Genomic DNA, 22,638 nt, shown 5'->3' with positions numbered 1-22,638 from the left:
ATCTGAAAAATGGGGGTGGGAAGAACACCCACTTCTTATGAGGGTTGGATACATTTATAATAAAGCATTTAGAACAGTGCCTGGCATATAATAAATCAGCAGCTTCAATGTATAAGAGAGGCAATTACAGGTATGGGCCTAGGATTTGAACAACGTAAGACTGTGGTCCTCAACCCTGATGGTACATTAAAGTCTCCTGGAGAGCTTTTAAGAATATCAACACAGGAACAACTCTATCTAGGCCAACTGAATAACATGTCTGGAGTGGGGCCTGGGCACGAGCAGTTTTTAGCTTTCCAGGTGAGTCTAATGTGCATTCTAACTGTGACTCACTCGGTGTCAAGCCTGAAGCTGTGGCCACTGGGGTATAGAAGGGGAGCTGTGTGGTAGGTTTTGAATGAGAATGCACTCTTAGGCAGACAGGGATGTTGTGGTGACTGTGGCAGGAGAAACAAATGCAAATTCCTCCTAGTGTTCCACAACAGCCTCCCAGTCGTCACTTTATGCATCCTGCTCCTGGCCAAGCATCTCACATCCAGCTAGATTTGTCAGCTGTAAGGGAGCCAAGAACCATGGGAGGTCAGAAGCTGGGCACAGCTAGACTGTTTGGAACCCAGCTGGTGTCTACCTATCAGGTGATGGATTACATATCACTGGTCTCATGCCTTCACAAATAAATCTACCAACAAGGACTTGTTGAGCACCTTCTTTTGGGACCTACAGTGTGCCAGGTGACTGGAGGGCAGCAACCAGATAGCAATGTGGCTGCTCTCAGGGGTGAGTTGTTATTGTTTTGTTTGCTTTTTCTGCAGGAGCCAAAACTCAGGCTTGTTAAGTGGTAATTGACAGTCCTTCTAAGGAAGTTTCTCTTGGATTTGCTGCCAATAGGAAGAGAATTATTTCTCAGAGCACTATAGCATTCATTTATCGAGTGCTCACTCAATTATGAGGCATGACAGAGTTTGCCACCTAAAAGAGGAAAGACCACTTAATGATTCCTAGAGTCAAAAGTCAGGAATAAATGGATAGACAGATCAAAGAGTTAAGGGGATTCTATTGTAATTGGAGAAGCACTTTTAGCAGGAGCCAGGTCTTCCACTGAGATCTTAAAGGAGCTCTTGAATGAGTTGTGTGTGAGGGAAAGTATGCTTTTGAACATAAAGAAATAGTGATTTGGCCAGGTGCGGTGGCTCACGCCTGTAATCCCAGCACTTTGGGAGGCTGAGGCGGGCAGATCACCTGAGGTCGGAGTTTGAGACCAGCCTGACCAGCGTGGCAAAACCCCCTCTCTACTAAAAATACTAAAATTAGCCAGGCGTGGTGGTGGGCACCTGTAATACCAACTACTCAGGAAGCTGAGGCAGGAGAATCGCTTGAAACTGGGAGGTGGAGGTTGCAGTGAGCTGAGATCGCACCATTGCACTCCAGCCTGGGTAATAGAGCAAGACTCCGTCTCAAAAAAAAAAAAAAAAAAAAAAAAAAAAAGTGATTTTCAGCTGTTCCTGTGATAGGATAACAAGGTGTAGGCTGTGGTTTTATTGCTAAACCACGGTGGGAGCAGATTTAAGATCTGGTAGAAAGTGGAATTCTATTTTGGAATTCCGTTTCCCCGACCTCAGGAGACATTTGAACTCTCTCAGAAGGCGTGTTTATCACAGCAATTTTCAGAGTCTCATTGTTTTTCTGAATGGACGAGGCTTGCATGTGAGAGAAATAAGAAGTTTCACCCTTTGGGAGAAGTTTCCTTGTATAATTGAAGAACTGGTCATGGTTACTGACCCAAATTAAAAGATAATTGACTGTTAATGACCCAAATCAGACCTCGTTCCTAAATTGACTTGGATTTGATTTGGGAAGAAGAAAATGAAAGGTCATTCGGAAGCACCAGAGAGGTCTCTTTGTGGATAGAGATGGAGAGGGGAAATGTTGGGATTGGGAGAGGAAACTTGGGGAATGAGACATACCTGAGACTGCTATTGACTCTAATATTTGCTTTTTGCATTCTTAGCCATAATACCACAATTGATATTGATAACACCACAATATCAACAGTGTCCTTCTTTGCAATCAAAGCTTTCTATTTTCCTGCTATGAGAAGTAAATACTGTGAAGGCAAAAATTATGATTTAAATACTTGAAGGGCTTACAATGTTTGTGGAATTGAATTGGAATATGGGAAGAGATCTTTTAATCAGGTTTTCTTGGTGAACTCTAGGCACGTTTCAGGGCATCTACAAGGAGGATGGATCATTGTTTAGTTTTCTCTCTTTATATTTCTTCTTCCCTCCCTTCCTCCCATTTGCCAGGGACTGCAAGAAAAGACAAAGAAGAGATGGAGAGAGAGTTGGCTGGCATAAAGACTGCTCAAAACAAAATGACAGATGCTGGCAAGGATACGGAGAAAAGGAAACCCTTATATGGTGTTGGTGGGAATGTAAATTAGTACAGCCACTATGGAAAATAGTATGGAGTTTCTCAATAAACTGAAAACAGAACTACCATACTATCCAGCAATTTCATTACTGGGTATTTATCCAAGAGAAAAGAAGTCAGTATATCAAAGGGATACCTGCACTTGCATGTTTCTTGCAGCACTATTCACATTAGCAAAGACATGGAATCAACCTAAGTGCCCATCAATGGGTGAATGGACAAAGAAAATGTGGTATAGCTACACAACGGAATCCTATTCAGTTATAAAAAAAGAATAAGTTTATGTCATTTGCAGTAACATAGATGGAACTGGAGGTCATTATGCTGAGTGAAATAAGCCAGGAACAGAAAGACAAATACCTCATGTTCTCACACTCATGAGGGAGCTAAAAAAGTTGATCTCATGGAGATAGAGAGTAGAATGACAGATAGCAGAGGCTAGGAAGAGAATGGAGAGACAGTAAAGAGAGGCTGGTTAATGGATACAGATATGCAGTTAGACACAAGCAATAAGCTCTAATGTTTGATAGTAAAGTGACCATAGTTAAGAAGAACGTATTATATATTTCAAAATAGCTAGAACGGAGAACTTGAAATGTTTCTGACACATAGTAATGATAAATACTTGAGGTGATGAGTACCCCAAATACCCTGATTGAACCATTACACCATCTATGCACATAACAAAATATCACACGCACTCTATAAATATGTCAAGTATTCATATCCGTAAAAACAGTTTTTAAAAAGACTCCTCAAAACAAGCAACAAAAGATACATGAAGGTCTTGGGAGATCTCGTCTTTCCTTTGCAGTGATTTCATCATAGACCTTGCCTGGCTAGAGGGGCAGTTTTCTAAATGTGAAACAAAAAAATGATCACTATGTCTTACATAGTATGGGAAGAATGTCTTGAGTTTGTGTGTTGCCTTTCTTCTGAGTAGGTTCAAAGTACTTTGCAAACATGACATCAGTACTCCCTGGGAGGAGGCTGCAGGTGAATTCTGAGGAGAATAATCCCTTTTCAGCAGTTAGGAGGAGCTAAGGCACAGATCAACTTCCTCAGTGAATTTGTGCAAAGTGTCCCCTAACTGTTCTAAGTCTCATACACAGAAGGATGGCATTAATACTTAATGTGGCTAGATGAAGTCTAAGTGAGATCCTTGATGAACTCCATGTCTTATACTTTAAAAAGGCACACTGTAAACTTTTATAGTTTATTTTTTTCTTGCCAGTGGCCATTCTTAGAACTGGCCTTCCTCTAACATCCGTTTGTGGAGCAAGGCAAAAATAAAATGACAACAAAACAAGAGATACCAAGTAGTGTTTATGTTAGCATGACTTGCTACCAAATTGGATCACCTCGGGTAAAACTTGGAGTCTTAGAGGATCCCCTGGAGAGGGAAATGAAGCATCCTTTTTCCCTCTGTTGTTTTGATTAGGATCTTGTAGCAAAGTATGGCAGTTAAAAATTCTGTTAGTAACTTGAAGGAAAAATAAATCAATAGTTATAATTTGCAGTAGTTACAACTTCTTTTTCTGTTTTTACTAAGAAATTTAAGTCTCATCCACTAAAGCTGCTTGTATTTTCCTTTTTTGATTCTAGCTCCCCTCCCTTAATCTCTGTCCTGTCTTCTGTTTGGCTCTCTTAAGAAATCTCAGGAGGCCCTACCCATGGAAGAAAGTTTATAGAATATGAAGAGAAATGGAGCTGTGCCTTGTAGATCTAATATTGTTTCCTCTAATCAAGTTCACTTCAGGAGACAATTCATTGGAGAAATTACCTGAAATATTGCAGCAAGGATTATTTGGAAATTGAAGGTGAAAAGAGGAACTATTCATCAGGTCAAATTCTTTTCCCATTTCCTTTGTCTCTGATATGAACTGGCTTCAGTTGGTTTGTACTAACAGGTCTAATATACTGTCAGATAGAATAGCTCTTCTATTAGAATCTTTTTTTTTCCTTTTTTCTGTATTTTCAAATTTATTAATATTATTTTTAATTGACAAATCATAATTGTATACATTTATGGAGTATGATGTGATGTTTTGATATATGTATACAATGTGACATGGTTAAATTAACCTAATTAACATATCTATTATTACCTCACTCACCTATCATGTTTTATGGTGAGACATTTGAAATTATGGTGAGACATATGGTTAAAGTTATTTTGAAATGTACAGTGCACGATTATTGACTGTAGTCACCCTGTTGTGCAATAGATCTCAAACTCTATTCCTTCTGTTTGATATGTTCTTCAATTTGATCAACAACTTTCCATTCCCTCCCTCCCCACCTCCCCCAGCCTCTGGTCATCATCAGAATCTTTCTTTTCTTTTTTTTGAGATGGAGTCTCACTCTGTCACCCAGGCTGGAGTGCAGTGGCGCGATCTTGGCTCACTGCTACCTCTGCCTCCTGGGTTTAAGCAATTCTCCTGCCTCAGCACCCCCTAGTAGCTGGGATTACAGGCGCGTGCCACCATGCCCAGCTATTTTTTTTTTTTTTTTTTGTATTTTTAGTAGAGACAGTGTTTCACCATGTTGGTCAGGCTGGTCTCGAACTCCTGACCTTAGATAATCCGCCCGCCTCGGCCTCCCAAAGTGCTAGGATTACAGGTGTGGGCCACTGTGCCTGGCCAGAATCTTTTCCTTAATCACCAAAGTATTTCTGGTAGGAAAAGTTACTGGCCATTTAAATTTTGCTCAGCTGTAAATACTTGTCCCGTATCTAGACTTGGCAGTGTACATATTTGGATTTACAAGCAAAGTAGCAAGTTGACTGTGCCTTTCATGTGGTTATCTGGATTTGGGGGGTGGGGGGTGCAGGGGTGGGGTGGGTCTTTGTATTTTTCTCCCCAAAGACTCCCTGGTTAATTTTTAAAAATCTTCTTGGGGGTTTGGTGGGAGTTATTGCTTTATATGGAATAAATAAGAGACTGTGATGTTTTGTGGCATCTATTTAAAATTTCACTGCCAAATTCATCTTCTCAACTTTTTTTGTCATACACATTATCCTTGCTGATAAATTTTCCGTGTCTTCCCTTCCCAAGCCTAAATCAACCCCTTGATGTGGGCACTTGGAAACTCCTACCCCGACAAAAACTCCCTTTTCCCCCCAAAAATGATGTTCCCTTTTCTCACCCAGAAATACCTGCTACAGTCCTGTGTTTCCTTTGGTCTTGATCTCTAGTATCATGTGGGAGTGGATCTGTGGAATTTTTGTCATTATATATATGTTGTCATGTTTAATAAGGTTGGAGATCCCAGGAGCATTTCTCTTTTTGCCATGTAACTTTGTCTTCCTTTTGTTGTCTTTAACCTTTTCTTCAAGCGCATTGACATTTGTGATGTTTGGGACCGTAACCACAGAGCCCACAGTAGGAGGCCCCAGCATGCACACACTTAAAGCACCCTTTAAGTGACTAACGAGGGTAATCTGTATCCAGACTATACTTATCGTGTCTTCCATAACCACTGAAATTCTACTGCAATCAGAACTTGGACTGAAAATGTTTAAAGCCTTGATAAAGTTGTGTCCTTTGGAGGACATAGCATGAACCTCTCATAGACATGACACTTTGTACTGTAATCCTTGTGTAACATGGCAGCACAGAGTCTTGGACCAGATACAAGAGACACTTATGTTGTACTAAAGTTGTTTCATGAAAAGAAGTTAACACTAAGGATCCACTGTGTGTAATTTTAACCACTGAATGTGAATCTATGGTACTTGTTCATTGACATAGAAAATGTGGATCAAGTACCAGTCTTAACATATAAACTCTGACAAGTGGGCACTGGGGAGATGGGGGTACCCATGTCTGTCCTATGTTCAGCCTGAAGATGCTCCCATTGGTAGTAGCAAGCACCAGTTTTCCAGGTCCCAGAAGCCTGTAGCCACTCTCCCTTGCAGAGCTGCGTGTGGTTCTTGGATCTGGGTGAGCTCTCAGAGGTGCTCAGGAGAGCATTGCTTTGCTCTCCAGAGTTCAGAGGTGCCCTGAGAGGAGACTGGTGGGTTCCCAGTGTTTGTTAAGGGAAAGAAAGAGTGGCCCTTGTCAAAACAACATGGGATTTCAGAGCATAAAGAGACCTTAAGCTCCCTCATTAAGAGCAGGAAAACATACTAAAAAATGCGCTCTTTAAACTTCTGGCTCTTCCTCAGGCTCTGTAGGACCTTTGAGTTCAGGAATGCAGGGGCTAATAAGCTGGAAATGTTTGATAATTCCAATATGAAGTCTGCAGCCCCCAGATAAGATTTTAGGTTGTGCAGGTAAATGTCCCATTCCATTAATAAGCAGCCGAGCATGTAACAGGTGGGAGTTTGGGTATGAGTGTGCATGAGTTGTGTGTGTTAGAAGGATTTCTGGCCCACATTCAATATAAAGTGCCATCTAAATTGTAAGTAATATTTTCTCTGCTTATCTAGAGGATGACTCTAGTTACCTTGCTTAAGAAAGAAGGAAAAAACTTTCAAAGACGTGTTGTAGAAGGAACTTGTCTGACTCTGAGATGGCTTTGCAAAATTTTCCATCACCTTACTATGGTGTGATCCATGCTGGCATTTGGATTCAAAAGCCAGGGTTTTTGTCCAGGCTCTGCCATTCATGAGCTCTGTGTCCTTGACAAAGTCCCGTAACTCCTTCTGAGCCTCACTTTCTTCAGTTGGGGAAAGGAAATAATTCTTGCTCAACCTCTGGCCTTTTATAGCATTTCATCTGGATCCAAAGGGAGGATGAGTATATAAAGTGACTGTCAGTAGTTTTGGTGGAGTGTCCAGTGAGGTTTTCACTGGGACAGTGTACAGATATTAAGAATTTAAAATTGTAAGGAAGAAAGCAGGATAGAGGTAAGTAAACTTCCATAAGGATTTTAATGGCCCTCCTGGGAGAGAAGGGACCAAAATCTCTCAAACTCCTCTTCTTGTAATTTCAGATTACAGAAACCTTTGAGCGGGCTGGGTGATCCAATGCCATAGGAATATAAAAAAGGTCCCTGTGTTAAAGTGCCTATGGGGACAGACAGAGTTGTGCTGGATGTTAGCAATGGCATTGGATCCTGCCTTGTTCCAAAAAGTGAAGGATTCTGCTTTGAGCAAATGGCTCGGGCATTTGAATCTAAAAAGATGGCAGCTGGTAGCGCAAATCACTTTTGGCATAGAGCATCCTCAGCTGAGATAACAATGAGTAAAGAAGCCTCCTTTTTTTAACCTGAAGATCCACATTACTCATATTACTCACTTGCACTCTGTTAGGTAGGAGAGTAGAGTGATTCCCAATGCTATCAGTTGCCCCTTCAGGTAAGAAATATCTTGAAATGCCCTTTCCCTGTCCTGAAATGAAAATCATAGATAAGATATATGTACATATATAATCTATAAAAAATAATCAAAATAATGTCCTGAGTATAATATAAAGGAAACGTGAAGGGAAAATAATTTATAAAAAAGCAATATGGCCAAACCACATCAGAAGACAACATGCAGTGGTCAGATATTGCACATGTAGGATCTTCATGAATGTGGCAGCCCATAGGCCATCGTATCCATCTGATACTGGTATAGTAGAATAGAATGGACACTGTCATATCACAAGTAGCGTCACTGTTAGTGACATGATTTTCTGAAATGGTGAGCCACAATTGGTGATGCTCCAAGTTAAATACATAGCAATCTTCCCTTTTCTAGACAGAGTAGCTGTAATCCTGAAAAATTCAGTTATCATAAAATTGTAAAAAAGTAATTTTTGCTTGTATATAAGACAAAATCAAAACCTTTGCTCAGATAATTATAAATAAGTGGGAAACCCTTGATGCCTATTGGAACATCTTTGGATATATGAGGCATGTAGACCTTTTTTTTTTTTTTTTTTTTTTTCAGGTTCTCACTATTTTGCTCAGGCTGGAGTGCAGTGGCATGACCATAACTTACTACAGCCTTAACTTCTGAGCTCCCAGCCATCCTCCTTCCTCAGCCTCCCAAGTAGCTGGGACTCCAGGCATGTGTCACTGTGCCTGGCTAAGGTTTTATTTATTTGTTTATTTTTTGAGACAAGGTCTTGCTATGTTGCCTAGTTTGGTCTTGAACTCCTGGCCTTAAGTGACCCTCCTGCCTTAGTCTCCTGTAGACCATTTTTCTTGATATGTAGGATGTGTCACCTGCTTTGCAGGATGTCTGGAATCCTGGCCCACTAAAAGCCAGCAACACAAAACCTTCAGTCATTATGACAACTAAAATGTGTCCTCATATTTCCAAGACACCCTCTGGGAATGCTAACATTGTCATAAGAAACTCGAGGGTAGAGGCCTAGCCTCACTTCAACTGTTTTGGACATAGCTGGAGGTGACCATGCCTTCTAGTGAAGTCAGGGTTAGTCAATGGAAGACCTTTCTAAACTTCATGGGACACCAGGTTTCTGGACTAATTTTGTTTTCTAAAGCAACTGTCTTCTGTTGCAAGCTATTATGGTACTCTGGAGATCAAAGAAGCATGACTGAGTTCTGGCTCTGGCGGCTAACTGGGAGAAAGCAGGACTGGCAGACCCTCTGCCCATGAGCAAGTACCTGGAACTTCTTAGCTCTATTGGGGTGAACAAGCCATGGAAAGAGGATTTAGACTTTCTGCTCTTCTGGACAAATGGAGTCCCAATGACGTCACGTTTAAGAGTATTTATTTGGGAGTTGGACAAATCTGGGTTTGAATCCTGTTTCTGTTCATATGATAGCTGTTTGACTTTGGACAAGTTACTCAGTGGTCTGAGCCTGAACACTAAAATGGAGATAGACCTACTGTCTTAGTCCATTCCTGCTGCTCTAACAAAATACCTTAAATGGAATCTATAAACAACAGAATTTATTGCTGATAATTCTAGAGGCTAGGAAGTCCAAGATCAAGGTACCAGCAGATTTGGTGTCTGGTGTGGGCCTGTTCCTTGTAGATGGCAACTTCTAGGCATCCTCATATAGTAGAAGGAGCAAATCAGCATCCTCACACCTCTTATAAGGGCACTAATCCCTCATGACCTCATCATCTCCCAGACGCCCCATATTCTAATACTATCATGTTGGCAATTAGGACTCAGCTTAGGAATTTGTAAGGGACACAAATATTCAGACCACAGCACCTACCTAGAAGGCTGGTGGTGAAGGACAATGAGATCTTCATAAAGAGCTTTGCATTGTTCCAGGCACATAGTAAGAACTTAGTTAACTCCAGTGAACTCCAACAACTTAACTGTTGTTGCTTACAGTCATACAGTCATCTTTTGGGGGCTTTTAAAAACTTTTAAATTCAGGGATACATGTACAGGTTTGTTACATATGTAAACTTGTGTCATGGGGGTTTGTTGTACAGGTTATTCATCACCCAAATATTAATCCTAGTATCTATTAATTATTTTTCCTGATCCTCTTCCTCTTCCCACCTTTTACCATCTGATCAGCCCCATTGTGTGTTGTTTCCCTCTATGTATCCATGTGTTCTTATCATTTAGCTCCCACTTATACCTGACATCATGTGGTATTTGGCTTCCTGTTCCTGCCTTAGTTTGCTGAGAATGATGGCCTCCAGCTCCATCCATGTCCCTGCAAAGGACATGACCTCATTGTTTTTTATGGCTACATAGTATTCCATGGTGTATATGTACCACATTTTCTTTATCCAGCCTATCATTGTTGGGCATTTAGGTTGATTCCATATCTTTGCCATTGTGAATAGTGTTGCAGTGAACATACATGTGCATGTGTCTTTATAATATAATTATTTATATGCCTTTAGGTATATACCCAGTAATGAGATTGCTGGGTTGAATGGTATTTCTGTCTTTAGGTCTTTGAAGAATCACCACACTGTCTTCCACAATGGTTGAGCTAATTTTTGCTCCCACCAGCAGTATATAAGAGTTCCTTTTGCTTGACAATCTTGCCACCATCTGTTACTTTTTGATTTTTTAATAATAGGGGGCTTATGTTTGTGGGGAAGGGCATTAGGGACAACTAAGGCTCTATAGAACAATCCTGCGACAAGGTACAGCTCCATCTCAGCAAAAAAGAGTGAGAGTTTTTCTAGAAAGTCATTGAGGGGGAAAAACAAGCCAGCTCTGGATTATATTGAAGGGAATGTCTTAAACATGATAGCACATCTTCTCTATAACCCTTAATACTTAAGATTATGTACTTTTAATACTTCCTACTGAGTTCCAAAGAGCCTGAGTAACAAGGCAGTATGATGATCACACAATAACCTTTATACAACAGGAGGTAAACACAAGCTCTGCCATGAAATTCCAGGTTTGCTGTCTCATGTGACTTCTCCCCAGCTAAGCAGAGCTAGAACCTATCACTGCTCTGCAAGGGCCCTGGAACAGAAACTCATGTGATTGTTTCTTATATATGTGCTTTTCCTAAAAAGTGAATATTAAGGTGTCCTTTTGTTGATGCAAAACAAGCAACCAGGTACGCTCATGCACACGCATTTTCCTAGGACAAACCACAAAGAAAAACTGTTTGAATATGTTTAATGAAAACATTTCCCAGCTCAAAACTTCTTAAAGAGATCCAGCTTTCCTATGGAAAACAGCCCAGGATTCATAGAGAAAATATTGAAGTATTCTTCTTTTCCTTGATCAGTGTTGTTTTGCCAAAGAAGATGCTGTCTGTCTTTTTCACTGAAGAGTGAAAGAAGTTCTGACCATATGTCTCCATCACTCCATGGGCAATTGTTCAAATTTGTTTTCCCTTATAACAGTGGGGCAAGTGCTTTTCTTATAACTGTCTTGGTTCATAAAAACTTTAAGACAATACAAAATAAGAATATAAAATAAATGAGGACTAAGGGGAAGGATAAATATGGCAAAGGTAAGTATGGAAAATGTATACCTGTGGAATAAAAATTTGACTGTAGGCTTCCTAGTGACTAGAGCAAAGAGGAAAATCCCATTTGGTTATGTGATTTAAAAAAATGAAGTTTTTTAGGAGGAGCTCAGTTGTCCCTGGTGTTAAGAACAGAAGTGAGTTTTCTCACAGTTACTCATAAAAAGTATTTTGAGCTCTGATGATCAGGTTCCTAAAATGCCCTGCAGTGACTGCGACTGAATTGTGTCAGACCTCTTTGTATAACGTCCCTCATTCTTGGCATTTTGCCAAAGTATAATTCTATAAAGGGAAAGAAAGAACCTCCAGGCAATCTTCCATTTATACTATTTATTTTCAACTGAAGTTTTGCGAAATATTGAGCAGCACAGAGTTAGAGGTCATCTCTGGTAAGTACCTGGAATGCAACTCTTCTCAGCAGATGGGAAAGTGCAAAGCCACAGGCTTGCAACAGTTCACTAAGCTGGGCAGAAATGACATTGCATTATAAATATGAAAAGGACGCCCAAAGATATGGGGGCTGGAAGAGAAGGTCACCCACCTTGCCATGTAGAGAGGAAAGTGCATCAAAGAAGATGTAGAAAGTTTGAGAGGAAGGGGAAGAAAAAAAATGAACAATAATTTTATTAACTTAAGATAACCACTATTCACACTTTTGTATATTTCCTTCTTTTTTTTTTTGTCCTCCTAGTGGGTAATGTTAACAATCAGAATACGCACACAGGCTGGGTGCAGTGGCTCACACCTGTAATCTCAGCACTTTGGGAGGCTGAGGTGGGAGGCTGTGGTGAGCCCAGGAGTTCAAGGCTGTGGTGAGTTGTGATAGCACCACTGCACTCCAGCCTGGGTGACAGAGCAAGACCCTTCCCCCTGACCCCCCCCAAAAGACTAGGCATACAATTTTATAAATCATTTTTCACTCAATTAAGCACCATAAAATTAGTTATTATAGTTTGTTTTATCGGGATTTTTGGGCTGCTGTAATATAATCCCCATCATGGCTTCTGACCTTCTATAAAATGTATCATATACCCCCTGCCATGAGTAAGTGATGCTTTAGGAAAATTAGGAAAAGAGGCTGTTTAAATAGACTGGGAATCAATAAAGAGGCCAGAGGGGATGTAGGAGGTGAGAGCTGAGTGTGGGGAGTTATTCAGCAGAAACAGAGAATCAGAAGGGGAAATGACTGGGAGAACATAAACCCCAAGAGAATTTACTAACCACGTGGGGCTCCCCATGAATGTGGCATTAGTGATTCAATTTTATCTCAAGACGGAACAAGTGCACCTTTTGTAATGTTTTTTAAAATATAAACATGCCTAAGTTCTGCCCTTTCATAAAAAGAGGTAGAAATAGAACAGTGATGGGTCATGATAATATGGTAGTACAATTTGGCAAGATTTTTCTCTTTTAAAAGCAGCTTTCCAGAAATCACATTTTACCATAGTCAAGAATTTCTCTTTTTTGGGGGGGTGTGGCGGGTAGCAAAAGTATTACTTTTTTTTTGAGATGGAGTTTCGTTCTATCACCCAGGCTGGAGTGCAGTGGTGTGATCCCAGCTCACTGCAACTTCTGCCTCCTCGGTTCAAGCGATTCTCCTGCCTCAGGCTCCTGAGTAGCTGGGATTACAGGCACTCGCCACCAGGCCCAGCTAATTTTTTGTACTTTTAGTGGAGACGGGGTTTTACCATGTTGGCCAGGCTGGTCTCGAACTCCTGACCTCAGGAGATCTACCTGCCTCGGCCTCCCAAAGTGTTGGGATTACAGGCGGGAGCCACCAAGTCCGGCCAGTAATCTGTTACTTACAGAGGAAGACTGGTGTTTACACTCAAATCAGCCCCATATACAGACACTTCTTAATTATCTACCGCTTACTTTGTTAAATTTTGTATCTCGCCTTCCCGAAATAGAAATGTTGCTGATGCTTAAATACAACCACAAAGTCATTGAAGACATATCTTGAATGACCATTAGGCTCTGATATTCCTTCTTTGACCTTGTACAGACTTTTTTCTCCTCTTATTGTTTTGAAATGTGTCACTTTTTTCTTTGCTACTTTGAATTACCTTCTGTTCCAGGAAGGGACGGGTAAATACATTTTCTTCAATCCTGGTAGTTTTCTGCTGGCCAGATGTTGTGGTAAAATTCTACCTTCTCCAGGGACTAAAGTGTGACTATTGAATGAGGAGGCTAATCTTTTTTTCTTTTTATCATATGTGGCGTATAGGAATCAGCCCCACTGTGTATGATGATTACTTTGTCCTCTGACAGTCTTCAAAAGTACTGGGAGGGAATCTGTCAGTTGATTGTCTCAGACAATCCCTTTCTGCACTAAGAGATTATGTCTTCTAAAGAAATTCAACCAAATGTGACTTTAGCCATCTCAAATCTTCTCCCAATAAATGGGTTTAAGTATCTGAAAAGACACAATGAAATTAGCAACTTCCAATTGATTTAATTAAGCAGCTGGGATTAATGAGAGGATGTATTCTTCCTGCAGTTATAAAGTCTCTTTCATTCTCTAGTATTCAGTTAATGAAAGGAAATAATATATATTTGGAATTTTTTCTTCTCTCCAATACTGCAAATTTTGTAAGCTGCTAGTTTCACTACTGGATATTAAAGTCTTATAAGGAAAAAAAACCCTTTTTTATATCAAAAGGGAATGGATTTTGTGTTTCTAGCACAACAGGTAGTCTGCCACTAGGTGGTATGTTTCCTTATTGCCCATACTTAGGTTTCGGAGATGTAAATGCAGTATAGGTACCCCATCATACAAAAGTTCGATTTCCTGAAAAATTCATAATTTAACTGTAAAGAGAATTATCTTTCTTTATTGGCTCCTATTTTAAAGCCAGAATAACATTTCCTTACTGAACTATATAAATGCATTGAAAATGTCTGATGGGAGGTTCTGGTGTTGACCAGGTCCCTGGAATTCTGGGAACATGGGTGGAATTTACCCATTGACTATACTTCTCTTCTCTCCTTTGGAGCCTCTGGTAGTACTTCCTAGAAGGACTTCCCTGGGTCCTTCCCTGTATCCGAAGAATTTCTGTCTCATATTTGTGGCTTCTAGAACTTTATCTTTGTTTATTCCTTACTTTGAGTACTTACAACCTCTGACAGAGCTGGATTCCATATCATTTCACCATGGGGCTTACTAAGCGCCTCATAGAGCCTTTCAAATGGAAGTTTCCTCCCCTTCTTTATCAGTCTCACTCCCTCTCTCTCTCATTTTCCCCCTCTAGTCCTACCCCTCTCTCTCTCCCACTCCTTTGCCCTCCCTCAGTCTCATCATCCTTTTGGTTTCTTCTTTTTCATTTTGACATATTTTTTAAAAATAGCAATGTCATGTAAAATTTAATTAACAGTTTATACCCACAATTTTTTTTTAATACAAGAAAACATAACAAATACAATTAAAGTCCTTTTTGATGCTCAGGCTCCATTCTCTTCCTCTTGCTCTATTAAATATCTCACAAAGCCAAAAGATCCATCTGATGACCCTTTGCACAGCTGTGTTACCAGAAGCCTCATGGGAGGGTGTTCTCTTGCTTTAGGACATTTATTTATTAGATGTTGATGGGGGTGCTTTGCTAAATGGGGGCAGTGAGTAGTCCAGAAGCAAATTGTATGGGAAAATAAGTAGATTTGATGTGCCATGGGGTAAACTTGTGAGGAAGAATCAAGTGCAGGAGACTTTAGCAGAATTAGTGACTGCTCCTAATTCCCATTTCCTTTCCAGGAAACCTGACTTGGGTCTTCAGCATTCCTGATCTCATTCTTCATAGTTCTTTTTTTTTTTTTTTAAATGGTTTTAATGTTTGTATATCTAACCCTGGCCTCATGGCTGTTTTTTTGATTTTATGGCTATGTGATGGTTTGAATTTGATGTTCTTAAATCTACACCATCCCCAAGCTCTGCTTAATTTAGTTGAAGGCACAATCAATGGGCTCAGATACAGTCTCCTCATCCTAACCCATCAGGGCAAGCTTGAAGGTAGACAGAGGTTGGCTATATAACTGACTTAAACGTTGACTGTGCCCCTAGATCTGCACAGCTTTGTCCCATTATTGCCAATTTTCCTGTCCCTAAGGGTAAGAAGAAAGGCACCAAAACTTAGCAGTGCCAGGGAACCTAGAGCCTGAGGTGTCAACATCAACTTGTTGCCTACCAAGACAGATCTTAGTGGGAGGCATGTTGAAATTGGCCACAGTTCCAAGGTTCTCTTCTAGGTCCTCTCTTGGTATTGACTCTAGGACCTGAAGCCACTGTCATCATTGACAGTGACACAGATAATGAGACTGATGATGCTGGGCTAGTGCTGGGTGTATGTGGGGACACTCTAGTCCTGGCTAGACTGGGTCCACCACCTTCATTGTATGTGCAGTGGTGAATTTGTAAGCTTTTTATGAGCTTCTTGTCCTTCTTCTCCTTCTCCTCCTCCTTTTCCTCTTCCTCCTCCTCCTCCTTCTTCTTCCTTTTTTTTTTTTCTTGAGACAAGGTCTTACTATGTCACCCAGGCTGGAGTGCAGTGGCACTAACATGACTCACTGCAGCCTTGACCTCCTGGGCTCAGGCAATCTTCTTGCTTCAGCCCCCCAAGTAGCTGGGACTACAGGCGTGCACTATCATTCCTGCTTATTTTTGTACTTTTTGTAGAGACAGGGTTTTGCCACATTGCTTAGGCTGGTCTTGAACTCCTGGGCTTAAGCGATCCTCCCTCTTGGGCCTCCCAAAGTGCTGGAATTACAGGTGTGAGCCGTCATGCCTGGCCTGTTTTGCTTCTTTTAACCATTCTTGCTTCAGCTTCTTTCCATTACTTTTTTCCTTCTCTCTTTGCCTTGACTTGAGTATCTGCTTGGCTTTCTGTCCTATGCTGTATCCGGTTAACTTGTCCTCTCAGCTGTGAATTGTAGTGACACATAAATGGGGAAATGAAAAATATTGATCAGCCTTGTATAAAGCCTGCCAAAATTTTCATCATCCCTTCTCACTTTGACTGAATACCAGGGAAATTATGTGATGGGTAATAGACTCCCACAAGCATCTGAGATTCGAGGCTCCTGCTGTAGATGGTACTTGCTGTGGGGGAAAAGACTTGATGTAGTCCATGAAAAATAATAAAACTAAAGAACAATCATTTCTTTGTTTTTACATGTTCCATTTTTAGCTTTCTTTGGTCTTATTACTTCCTAGTGATTGGACTTGTGTTCCTGAGGAAGAGTAATTGATCCACTTTCTCTCCGTGCTGTTAAGCCATCTTTATTCAGGATTAAGTTATAGTGTTTGAGGGCGTTTAACCCCAATTTCATGCTTTTTAAGGAAAACAAACATAAAACATCAAACAAAGTGAGACTGAAGTGAAAACTTTCCTCATCCTACTAGAAGTTAGAAGATCCTCAAAGTTCAAATTTCCAGCCAGACTGCTCAGTAAGTGCCTCTTCCGGGCAGCAGCAAGAATATGAGTCAAATGTCACTAGAGCATCTGCCTGGATTCTAATGCTAGTTCCAGCATTTACCAGCTGGGGGTCATATAATCCCTTAAAACCTCCTTTTCCTCATGTGTAAAATGGAGGGTTGATGAAACATGAAACTATCTTAAGTTGTTATGCTGTGTGATGACAGCAAAGAGGTTGGCATAGAATTAGCACTCAGGTGTGGCTGCCTCACAGTTACTGTTCTGCTGCCCCTCTCTTTCTCCCACTCCTCTCCTTCCTCCTACAGTGGTTCACAACACAGCCCTGTCATGGGGCTGCCTGCATTTGATCTTGGTCCCACCCATTCCTCCTATTTGGTTCAGAACAGAACCATCCACCTTTCTGAGGTCATTTTTGCATCTCAGAATTGATGATGATGCTGATAATATACCTACCCAAGTTCATTTAAAGTTGTAACATAGTGCTTGAAGCATAGTAAATGTTCAATAGTTATTTATTATAGCACGATTATTAATATTTTCTCCCCGAGCAAAGTCTTAAATCCCTGCTGAATTTCTGGGGTCTGGCAGAGTTGAGATGGGGGTAGGTTAAACTATAAAGTTTAGATGAACAGTCAGCAGCTTTTCTGAAATGACAGTATTGTCTTGATTTGTTCATTTAAATTTAAGTGAGGTCTCAAGTCATCTCTAGGTTTCTTTCATTGTTGCATAGTCCCCATCTCCCCCTAATGTCCTGGGATGATGACAGTGAGATGGAGCTGCTTTAGGCCCCTTCACAGAAGCCGCTGATCCTGCAAGGCCGCAGACAGGTTCTTTTTTCTGGACTTCTCCACCTTCCCCTCTCCTCTTGCTCCACAATGTGAATAGACCCGAGGGGCATCACCACTTGGGGTGTTGCCAGCCAGCCCCTTTGCTGTTTTAGAGTTAGTGGGAATTAGGCAGACGATTGTTTGAAAGCAAAAACAAGATCTCAGGATTGGTGCTGGAGAAAAGACAGCTTGTAGAGCAGGTGAGAAGTGCCCAGAGACAAACCGCCTGTTGTGTAGGTTATGGTGAGCTCATTTACATGTCGCTCCTTTGCTAGGCCTCCCTAAAATACAATCTATAGCCCATTATCTTTGCCCTTAACACACGTAGACTCTCTAATCACACAGCTTTGAGTTTGGCTGTTTCCATGCACTAATTAGGCTGACCTTAATCCATATAAGCTGTAATATTCCTCTGTGTGTCTCATGGTAACTACCCACCCCTTCCCTTTAGTGTATTCAAGCCTCATGACTTGAATAGTAGAAGCTCAAGTCTAGCTCCCCCAAATCATTGAGCAAGAGCCCCTTTTCTTACTCATGGCTGACAAGTTAATAGCAAGAGGCTCTTACACTACAGAGGTAGTAGCGTGGTCAGGTTCTCCTCCTAAATTCTCAGCCTGGCATGGAAGTGGAGGCTTTTCTCTTCCATCTTTTGTGTAGCATGGAGACTCAGACTGGACCCTTGTCCATACCCAACAGCGTCTGTGTATGTTTTCTGAAATGCTTTAAATTAAAGGGTTATACAAGTCATTACGCCAAGTCATCAAAACAGCAATTAACTCAATAACCATGACATGAAGCCAGCTGTCTCCTTTGGGACTGTAAAATTGAAAACCAATGCTACAGTGTGCTTGGCTCAGCCATGAACTCCCATGAAGCAAAACTAAATATTGCAAATGTAAATGTTGTAAATATTTACATTCAGAGAGGCAATGTACTTGATTTCTTTTTGGGAGGAAGATGATTGGAACAAAGGGAAACAAATAGGAGAGTAAGAAGTAAAAGTATCTATGTCTAGGGGAATATCTTTACAAATGAATATCTACAACTTTGTTGTTTATTATATCACAGATTATTTAGTATATTTAACAAATTGAGAAACAGTGCTGGTTAAATTTCCCCTAGGATGTTAACATCCTTGACAATAATAGTATAGAAAATTGGTCTAATCTTGTTATACGTTCTGACTACATACAGTTATACTCATTTTAGAATTACATTTTGAGATTAAATTATATTTTATATAAAATAAAAGAGCTCATTTCATAAAGAAGCTATGGAAGCTTAAAAAGTATTTTGAGAACTACCTCCCCAACTTATTGACCTCATCATTTAATGATGAAAAACTACATTTTTCTTCAAACTAGAAGTCCCTATACTCAGTTCATATGGCAGCAATCAGATTAGGGTTTTCTAAACAAATGAAGGATCTGCAAATGCTACAACCAAAGACTTTGGAAAGAAATGTTTGCTTTTCTGATTATAAAATTAACATGTATATAGATTATTCAAAAAATACATAAAGTATACAAATAAACATTACCAATGTAATCACACCATAAGACTACTGTTAATACTTTGCTACTACTACCTTAATGTTCTTACTTTGCTTTTTTGTATGCATTTTTCATATAATTTTATTTATACCATAATATATACACTTGTATTCTACTTTTATATAAACTTCATTAGTAGTTTCTCATTTTTGAAATTTTTATTTGAAAATATTTAATGCAAATGTGTCAGGCTATTTAATTATATGGTTATTGGATGTTTTTACTACTGATGTTGCAGTGAATATTTCAGTATATTAATCTCTGATTCTTTGCCTGTTTCTTTAGAGTATATTCTTAGAAAGAGAGTCAATTGTTTGGGCATATAAGATATTGCCAAATTACATTTTAGACAGATGATACTAATTTTTACTCAGTGTTTCTGTGTGCTCCAACTTGACTGCATCTTCAACGCTGTTGAGTATTATTTTCTTCATCCAATGGTTCTCAACTCTGGCTTCACTTTGGAATCAACACAGGGGCAACAAACAAACAAATAGACATGTCTATGCCTGGGCTCTACCCCAAACCAATTACATTAGAATTTTTAAGCAGTGAGATTGCCAATGCATCTGTAATTTTAAAAGCTCCCAATGACTCTAGTTGATAGAAAGGGTTCAGAACCATTTTGCTAACTGTGTAAATGAAAAATATTCTTCTTCAACACCCTTTTGGTATCAGGGTACTTAGAATTTAAGTAGTATATGCTTTGTCTCATTAGCTTGAAAAATATACTGTGAAATTATGCTCATGGCCAAAATATTTTGCCTCAATTGGATTTTCATATACATGGAAAAAGTAAGGACAAATAGCATGCCCTACCCCCCATAGCCTTACCATGTTGTCAATTAGTTCTTAGAAAAGCTTTGTAGAGCCCTTTCCACTTTTTTATATTTCGTCTTTAAGTTTTATATTTGAAATTCTTTAAGAAGTAGCAAATGCCACTTGTCTTGTCTTTCTCATCACTCTTCAATTGATTATGAAATATGTAATTTATTTAGGCATTTTCAATACCAGGACATGCATTGTCAAATGCGAGGGTTTCTTCAGTGTCTTAGTGTGGCATTATTTACCCATATCTTATTGTTTGGTAGATTAAAATACTAAAGAAGACTGTAATTGCCTGTGACTTTGGCCTGCCTGTTTTGAGGAAGGTTCAGTGAAGCTCCAGATATGATCTGAGTCCTGCTTTTGATTGAGTTAGTCTAGGGAAGCCCTTTTCACTCATCCTGCTAATGTATGCTGATGTGTATTGTTCCATTCTTTCTTGAAATTATTTTCCTATGTGTATGAAATAAGGGAAGAGAATGTTTCCTTCTCTCTTCTATTGATCTTACTTCAAAATCTGATGCCAGATATTTACTATGTGATCTTCCTAAAGGCTCTCATTTCCTCATTTCTATCATGCCTCTAGCCCTACTTCTTGTTCTTCCCCAAGAAGGAGACCTCCCTTGTGTTCCTGTCCAAATATTCACTTCTCCATACTCTCTTGCAGCTGACAGTGGTGATATGACAAAATTCTGTCCAATTGTATGTAAACTGAATTCTACTGAGAGCTTTGGGGAAGAGGCTCATTTTCTCAATAAAGGCATACTGATACTGGAACCCTCTTCTCTAACTTCTAGGCTTGAATTCACATGTGATGCCTGGACTTTGGTGGCCACTTTGTAACCATAAGGTAATGGAACTGGCAGATCAAGAGAATGCTGGAGATTCCATCTCTGCCATCTTTAACCTCCTGAACCAACACTAACCATTGCCCACCTGCAGCCTTCTTGCATGAGGAAAATACACCGTTGGTTAAGTCAGTGTTAGATGGCTTTTTTGTTACTTTCAGCAGAAAGCATTTCTGGTTCACCCAAATACTAGTCAATATCACATTTAGCTATCGATTATAGCTTGCCATTTTATAAATATTCCATGTAAGAATGGAATTAAAAGGCCAAGGCTGTTCCTAAATGGGATGAGGCCCACCTACTTTATCTTCCTTTTATTTTCTTCACCCTAGTGGCAATGCTCGGTCTTGGGCAAAGAACTAGGGAAAATCATTGCTTCTTAGTGTTGTCTGTTCCTGATTGTTTCTGCCTGATATATTTGGGATGTGCACCCTCTTCAAATCTCATGTTGAAATGTGACCTCCAGTTTTGGAGGTGGGTCTGGGAGGTGTTTGTTCTGAGTCCTGCTTTTGATTGAAGCAGGGAGAAGTGGGAGGTATTTGGGTCATGGGGGTGGATCCCTCATGAATGGCTTGATGGCCTCCCAATGGTAGTGAGTGAGTTCTTGCTCTGGTAGTTCATGCAAAAGCTGGTGGTTTAAAGTAGTCTGGCAACCACCTCCCCAATCTCTCTTGCTTCCTCTCTTGCCACGTGATAGATCAACTTCCCCATCACCTTCCACCATGATTGCAAGCTCCCTGAGGTCCTCACTAGAAGCAGATGCCAGCACCACACTTCCTATACAGCCCACAGAACTGTGAGCTAAAATAAACCTCTTTTCTTTGCAAATTATCCAGACTCAGATGTTCCTTTACAGCAATGAAAATGGACTAATGGAGAAAATTGTTACCAATGAGTGGGGTGTTGCTATAAAGATACCTGAAAATGTGGAAGCAGTTTTGGAACTGGGTAATGGGCAGAGGTTGGAAGAGTTTGGAGGGCTCAAAAGAAGACAGGAAAATGAGGGAAAATTTGAAACTTCTTAGAGACTGGTTAAATAGTTGTGACAAAAATTCTGATATAAATATGGACAGTGAAGGCTGGGCTAATGAGGCCTCAAATGGAAATGAGGAACTGAAGCATAGATCACCTATGTTATGCCCTAGCAAAGAACATGGTTGCATTGTATCCATGACCTAGAGCTTTGTGGAAACTTGAGCTTAAGAGTGATGTCCCACAGTATCTAGTGAAATAAATTTCTAAGCAGCAAAGCATTCAAGAAGTGGCGTGGCTGTTTCTAACAGCCTATGATAAGACATGGGAGTAAAGGAATAACTTAAAGTTAGAACTTATATTTAAAAGGGCAGCAGAGCATAGAAGTTTGGAAAATTTGCAGCCTAGTCATGTGATAGAGAAGGAAAGAGCATTTTCAGGCAAGGAACACAAGCAGGCTATGCAGCAACCACTTGCTAGAGACACTAGCATGACTGAATGGGAGCCAAGTGCTAATATTTATGACAATGGGAAAAAGACCTTGAAGGCATTTCAGAGATCTGAATGGCCCCATCGCAGGCCCAGGGGCCTAGGAGGAAAGAATGGTTTCAGGGACCAGGTTCTGGGTCCTGCTGCCCTAGTCATCCTTGGCATACTGCCTCCTGCATCCTGACTGGTCCTGTTTCAGCCATGGCTCAAAGTGCTCCAGCTACAGCTGGGGCTACCACTCCTGAGAGCACAAGCTGTAAGTCTTGGCAGCTTCCACATGATGTTAAGTCTGTAGGCACACAAAATGCAAACATGAAAGGAGTTTGGCAGATTTTCCCTAGATTTCAGATGTATCAAAGTCTGGGTGCCTAGGCAGAAGCCTGCTACAGTGGTG

The 22,638-nt window shown here is 40.3% G+C and overlaps 1 long non-coding RNA gene across 1 annotated transcript in view, besides 1 other annotated feature; it reads left to right on the top strand.

Moving 5' to 3' along the window:
* VLDLR-AS1 (VLDLR antisense RNA 1) overlaps positions 1-22,638 on the top strand; it is an 86,722-nt gene that overhangs the window by 7,849 nt on the left and 56,235 nt on the right. The window lies entirely within an intron of this gene.
* Positions 11,772-11,861: an enhancer, noted in NCBI's record as "active region_28137". NCBI's record gives its function as "activates an Ori minimal core promoter by ATAC-STARR-seq in GM12878 lymphoblastoid cells {active_cell/tissue: GM12878}" and the evidence as "EXISTENCE:reporter gene assay evidence [ECO:0000049][PMID:35858748]".

Source organism: Homo sapiens, chromosome 9, assembly GCF_000001405.40.
Source record: "Homo sapiens chromosome 9, GRCh38.p14 Primary Assembly".
Taxonomy (NCBI): Eukaryota; Metazoa; Chordata; class Mammalia; order Primates; family Hominidae; genus Homo; species Homo sapiens.
This window is presented reverse-complemented; position numbering and strand designations above follow the sequence as displayed.